The sequence below is a fragment of the Homo sapiens genome, chromosome 4, assembly GCF_000001405.40.
Source record: "Homo sapiens chromosome 4, GRCh38.p14 Primary Assembly".
Classification (NCBI taxonomy): domain Eukaryota; kingdom Metazoa; phylum Chordata; class Mammalia; order Primates; family Hominidae; genus Homo; species Homo sapiens.
Window position 1 is genome coordinate 183,355,802 of NC_000004.12, and position 6,000 is coordinate 183,361,801.

The 6,000-nt window shown below is 48.6% G+C and overlaps 1 annotated feature.

Moving 5' to 3' along the window:
- Positions 2,324-2,824: an enhancer, noted in NCBI's record as "H3K4me1 hESC enhancer chr4:184279278-184279778 (GRCh37/hg19 assembly coordinates)". NCBI's record gives its function as "activates a minimal SCP1, AML or CMV promoter by ChIP-STARR-seq in primed H9 embryonic stem cells {active_cell/tissue: H9 hESC(primed)}" and the evidence as "EXISTENCE:reporter gene assay evidence [ECO:0000049][PMID:30033119]".

Consider the following 6,000-nt stretch of genomic DNA (forward strand, 5'->3'; position numbering starts at 1 on the left):
TAATGTCAGAATCATTCTCTTCTATTCAAAAAGCAATTATGCCTAAAATTAAAACATAACTGTTGTAAACTAGCTTCATGTTTCAAGCGGCAACCAAGCAGTTCTGAACCACGAGATGCTGAGTGAGTAGACACAAGTTGGGACTAAGGTCAAGGGGTCTGCCTCTGAGCCCCTGGGCCACTGAGAGGGCCGTTCAGGATCCCAGTGGGGCAACTAGTCCGTCCATCAAATCCAAGCCCTGCAGACAGGAAAATTAACATGCATCTAAGGCCTTACAAAATCAAACTATGGGAAAGAGGAGATGTTGAAAAAAAAGTTGAAAATGAAACTCACCATTCTAAACATGACGCCTACCCTCAGATGTGAGCCCACCTTGAGTTAGCCATGGCCGGTGGCTCTTCTTCCCTCAGGCCTAAGCCACACCTCTTCAAAACTTCAGTCTGCCTATCCTCCGAGTCTGGGTTTCCTCCAACATCGTCCCTTTCCTTCTTTCTTCCTTCCCTTCTTCCTTCCTTCCCTCCCTCCTTTCTTTCTTCCCTCCCTTTTTCTTTCTTCCTTCCCTTCTCCTTTCTGCCTCCCTCCCTTCTTTCCTCCCCCTCTCTCTCCCTTCTTTCCTTCCTCCCTCCCTCCTTTCTCCCTGCCTTCCCTTCTCCCTTCCTGCTCATCTTCCACAGGCAAACGTAGGGCGCACTCAGCCCCAAGCCCCGTTCCACGCTGCAGCACTAGACACGTCTAACGGGCACGGTTTGCAGCCTGCCTGGGCGTCCAGCAGCCATGCTCTCTCTGGACAACCAAAGGCAAGTTCTGCTGGAGCCTGACCGCCAGCTCAGTCCCCTCCGGGGTTGGTTCCCGCCATTCCTCTTGATCACCTCTCCCTCCCTCCCCACCTGGCTCTAAGGGATGGGTCGTCAGAGCCCGGAAGGGGGCAGCTGTGGAGCCGCTGCCTCTGATGATTTGTGGCTGAGACCCCGTGCAAGCGGGAGGCCCCTGCGATAGGGTTTCAGTCTGAAGAAGATCTGGAGGGAGGAGGCATTTTTTCTAAGATGTTGATGTTTGAGTAGCAGTAATAAGGACAAGTAGGGCGTATTGTTTACAGTTGAAGACAATGAATAGTCTACTTCTACTCCTCTAATCTGTGACTGTTACCCCTACAGCAAGGAGCTGACAAGACGTCCATGAAGCAAGAAGACATGGAAGGGGAGGAGCAGCCTCTCCCCCCTACTCTCCCGCCCCGCCCCGGCCTGCCCCGCCGGCACCAAACGCAAGCATCAGACTCACCTGCTCTCCGGTGTGTGTGACCAAGAACCCTGCGGGCTCCTCTCCACCCTCCACTCTCAGGAAATAACAGGAAAGATGTCTCCCTGGCATGCCTGGACTCGTGCGTTTATTCACTCAGCCCAGGAGTGCAGGTGCTCGGGTGCAGGCCTGGCCCCAGCACTTACTGGCCACATGCCTGACCTTGGGGAGGTTGCTGAAGCTTTCTATGCCTAGCTCCCTCACCTGAAAACTGTGGCTATTACTAGTCCCCACCCCCTAAGGCTGGTTGGGAGGACTAGGAGATAAGGCAGGTGAAGGGCTTGGCACACCATAGGAGTCCACTGCATGCTGTCTCTTGTTGGAGAGATGGCCATCAAACGCCTGCTATGATCCAGCGCAGGGACGTGGCCCCTTCTCCCAGCTGGAGGATGGGCAAGAAAACCACACAAGACAACCCATGCTGGCCGTCGGGGTCTGGAGGAGCAAGGTGGACGGACATCCAATCAGGCTGGGGTAGGAGAAGGGACTCAACAGAGATTTTGCAGAGGGAATGACCGATCGATTGAATTCCTAATGGTAAATTAGGCTTCACCAGGTGAGGAGAGATGGGGATGGGAAAGGGGAGAAAACTCCAGGTAACGAGTCGTTTGCCGGTGGTTCTCTAAGGTTAGAACAGATCACAAAGACTCTCTGTGGCAAAGAGGATGCAGTCGAACCGGGAAGTGTCTCTTCTGCCATGGGAAGAAATTTAAACTTTATCCCAAAAGCCAAGGGAAGACCCTGAAGGATCTTAAACAACCTGACCCCCTAAAGGTGTAACAAACCGGCATTCGATTGTCCACCCTCATCCTTATCATGTATCTGAAAGAAAACACAGGGGATTTTTTTGTTTTTGTTTTTTTGGTCTTCTCAAAAATATTTGTCGTAACACATGTCTGGGATGTGAATTGTGGCCAATTTTTCCTGAAGCAGTAGTTATGATTTTGTAGAGGCAACTGGCCAGATATTAAATGCTTGCTCCTGTGAGATTTTTTGTCCCCATCTCTTTTCTCATGTGGTACAATCATTTCCGAAAAGGACCCACCAATTGTCTTTCTTTATCCGGGTCCTCCACACGGATGGATTCGTGGCAGGGCCTTTTGCAACATTTAGGGCAAACCACTTGGCTGAGCTGTCAAGTCAGCGCGCGGGTAATCAGCAGATTTATTCGAGGAAATATATTTATGGTCCTGAATGGCTGTTAAATGGAGCCATTATCTGGCCTTCTTGCTGTTGCTACAAATGTCCCTCCAGAGCGTGGGTACCCACACTAAGCCCATGATGCTTCCAGGTCATGAATTCAAGACGGTATTTATGCTGCCTCCAGTCAATGCACACGCATGTGCTGAGGTCATGTCAGTCGCGCTTGTTGAACGCTGAGGCACAAACTCAATGCCAGATGCTTTATTAAACATTCCCAGGGCAATCAAAGGCAGAAAGAGGGAGAAAAAGGATTTGTTGAACAGCCAGTGGAGACGAGGGGTTGAAATGCCGCCCTAAATTATTCATGGCTTGCTCTGAGCTGAGGAGGAATCATAATAAGCATCCTGGGGCCATTGTAGAGGACATCATCTTTCTTCTGGCCCCAGGGGTGCCCTCTCCACAAGAGTGTAATGAGAAAAAGCCCAGCCGAGCAAGAAGCCTGGACCAGTGGACCATCTGCAAGGAACGGCAGGGCTGGAGGTCTCGGGTTGAGCTTTCTGAAGACCTGGCACAGCTGCAACGCGACCAAAATGGAAACTCTTGGTTTCCATGTTCTAGTCCCCACTTTGCAAATATGCTTTGAGACATCGATGCTTTGAAATTTCTTACAAAATGTCTGTGCTAAACCCCAGAATACCATTTCCATATGTTCTTGTTTTGCTTCCATACCTCTAAAGCTTGTACAACAGAAATGGGAACAGATTCTTAAAGAACGTACCCATTTTTATTTATTTAAAGAACTAATTTTGTATGTATAGACATAGGCATGTGTGTACAGAAATACAGAAGGGTTGCGAGTATCAGCAACTTAGATGCCTCCAAAGTCTGATATATGTGCACCTTTAATGAGGAGAGATTACTATTTCAAAAGGGAAATTCTTACAGAATTTTCACATTCTAGGGGAAAAGGCATTGTTCAATGTAGCAGGCGGCCAGTCGTGTTGACTCACACCTGTAATCCCAGCACTTTGGGAGGCCGAGGAAGGCAGATCGCTTGAGCTCAGGCATCCCAGACCAGCCTGGGCAACATGACGAAATGTGGTCTCTACAAAAAAAAAAAAAAAATAGTTGGGTGTGGTGGTGTGTGCCTGTAGTCCCAGCTACGTGGGAGACTGAGGTGGGAGGATAACCTGAGTCCAGAAAGTGTGGGCTGCAGTAAGCCAAGATTGCACCACTGTACTCCCACCTGGGTGACAGAGCGAGACCCTGTCTCCAAAAAAAAAAAAAAAGTAGGTGGCACATAGGCTTAAGAAAACATTTATGGGCCTTTTGGTCAGGAAAGATGAAGGCCCTGTCCAGTCTGGGTGACTTGGGATTAGGCAGAGGAGAGTGGGAGATGAGGGAATTAAATTGCTCAGTTCAGTAAAGTAATGAGAACTTGGGTGTTCTGGCAGTTCTAGAGGGAAAAGACTCTGTGGGCCTAGAAGATGAGAAGAGGAACAGAAGGGGCTAGAAATGGAGTGCAGGCCTCAGAAAACATAGCAGGGGGCGCTGCCAGAATGAGAAGGCCCTGGGCAGGAACAGCTGGTAGTTAGTTGCAAGTCATTGCCTAATCCGAGCAGCACGTAGGACTCCTCTTGAGCCCTAAACTTTCATCAAATCCTTGTGCTGTTAGTGCCTTGGGAAATGAAGAGAGAGGAATTGAGGCCACCAAGGAATGCAGGCCACCAAGGAACTCAGGCCACCAAGGAACACAGGCCACCAAGGAACTCAGGCCACCAAGGAATTGAGGCCACCAAGGAACTCAGGCCACCGAGGAACACAGGCCACCAAGGAACTCAGGCCACCAAGGAACACAGGCCACCAAGATGCACGAAAAGCAGGAATTTGTAACAAGAGATCATTGTGGGAACATAAGGCTGTATCCCCCACCCCCAAATCTGGGTAAGTCTCCAGAAGGCTTGGTGAGACCTTGAACCTTCTGTATCTAGAGCATGCTGGAGAGCCTCCAGCAAGTCACACGAAGATGGCAGGAAAAGGACATTCCAGGGGCTGGAGGACGTTAGGAGCATCCAGGAAGCTGACCCCAGATCCCAATCATGCATAGTTTTGTGTCAGTATCAGAAAAAGAAGAAAAGAAGTGCTTGTGAGTCATCATCTCCAGATTAGCTGTTCTGAGTCTCTACTGGGCACCAAATCAACACCTCCGTCTCCCGTTATAGACTAAATTGTGTTCCTCCAGAATTCATATGTTGAAGCCCTAACCCCCAACATGACTTGGAGAGTGGGCCTTTAAGAAGTATTATCATTAAGGTTAAATGAGGTGATAAGAATGAGGTTCTAATCTAGTAAGGCTGGTGACTGTGTAAGAAAAGGAAGAGAGACCAGAGACCTGTCTCGCTGCAAGCACAGAGGAGTGGCCGTGGGAGGGTACAGTGAGAAGGCAGATGTCTGTAAGCCAGGGAAAGAGGCCTCACCGGAAATCAACCCTGACAGGGCCTTGATCTGGGATTCTCAGCCTCCAGAACCGTGAGAAGATACATTTCTGTCATTTAAGGCACCCGTCTGTGGTATTTCATGGTGGCTGTCCAAACAGATGCACGCAGCTCCTGATGCACTTTTCTTTTCTTGGCTATTTTTTAAAATGTTGCTATAGGCCTGGAGCAGTGACTCACGCCTGTAATCCCAGCACTTTGGGAGCCCAAAGTAGGCGGATCACCTGAGGTCAGGAGTTCGAGGCCAGCCTGGCCAACATGGTGAAACCCCATCTCTACTAAAAATACAAAAATTAGCCAGACATGGTGGTGGGCGCCTGTAATCTCAGCTACTCAGGAGGCCAAAGCAGGAGAAACGCTTGAGCCCGGGAGGTGGGGGTTGCAGTAAGCTGAGATTGCACCATTGCACTCCAGCCTGGGAGACAGAGCAAGACTATGTAAAAAAAAAAAAAAGTTGCTATAGTTTGAATGTTCTGTCCCCTCCAAAACTTATGCTGAAATGCAATCCCCAATGCGACAGTATTGACAGGTATGGCATTTGGGAGGTGATTGAGACATGAGGGCTCTGCCATCATGAATGAGATTAGGTGCTCTTATAAAAGGGCTTGATGGAGGAAGTTCAACTCTCTTGCCCTTCTGCCTTCTGTGAGGACACAGCCTTCCTCCCCTCTGGAGGAGGCAGCATGAAGGCGCCATCTTGGAAGCAGAGACTGGACTCTCACCAGATTTGTCTTGGACTTCCCAGTCTCCAGAACTGTGAGAAATACATTTCTGTTTTTACTATAATTATCCAGTCTTAGGTAATTTGTTATAGCAGCACAACATGGACTAAGTAAATGCCTTTTCAGTTTTTCTGTTTGATAAAAAGAAGAGAGCTCCAGTAGGCACAGTTCCTTCTTTTTAATTTCTTCAATTAATGAGGTGCTAGTTTCCCGTTTGTCTAATTGAAGCCATTTTTCCACCTTTCACTAGTGTAACACGTAATTGCCTCATATCTGAAGAATGGCCAGATGGCACAAACAATTACAATATTTTTTTCAAAATAGAAGTGATTTTATTGGGTTTT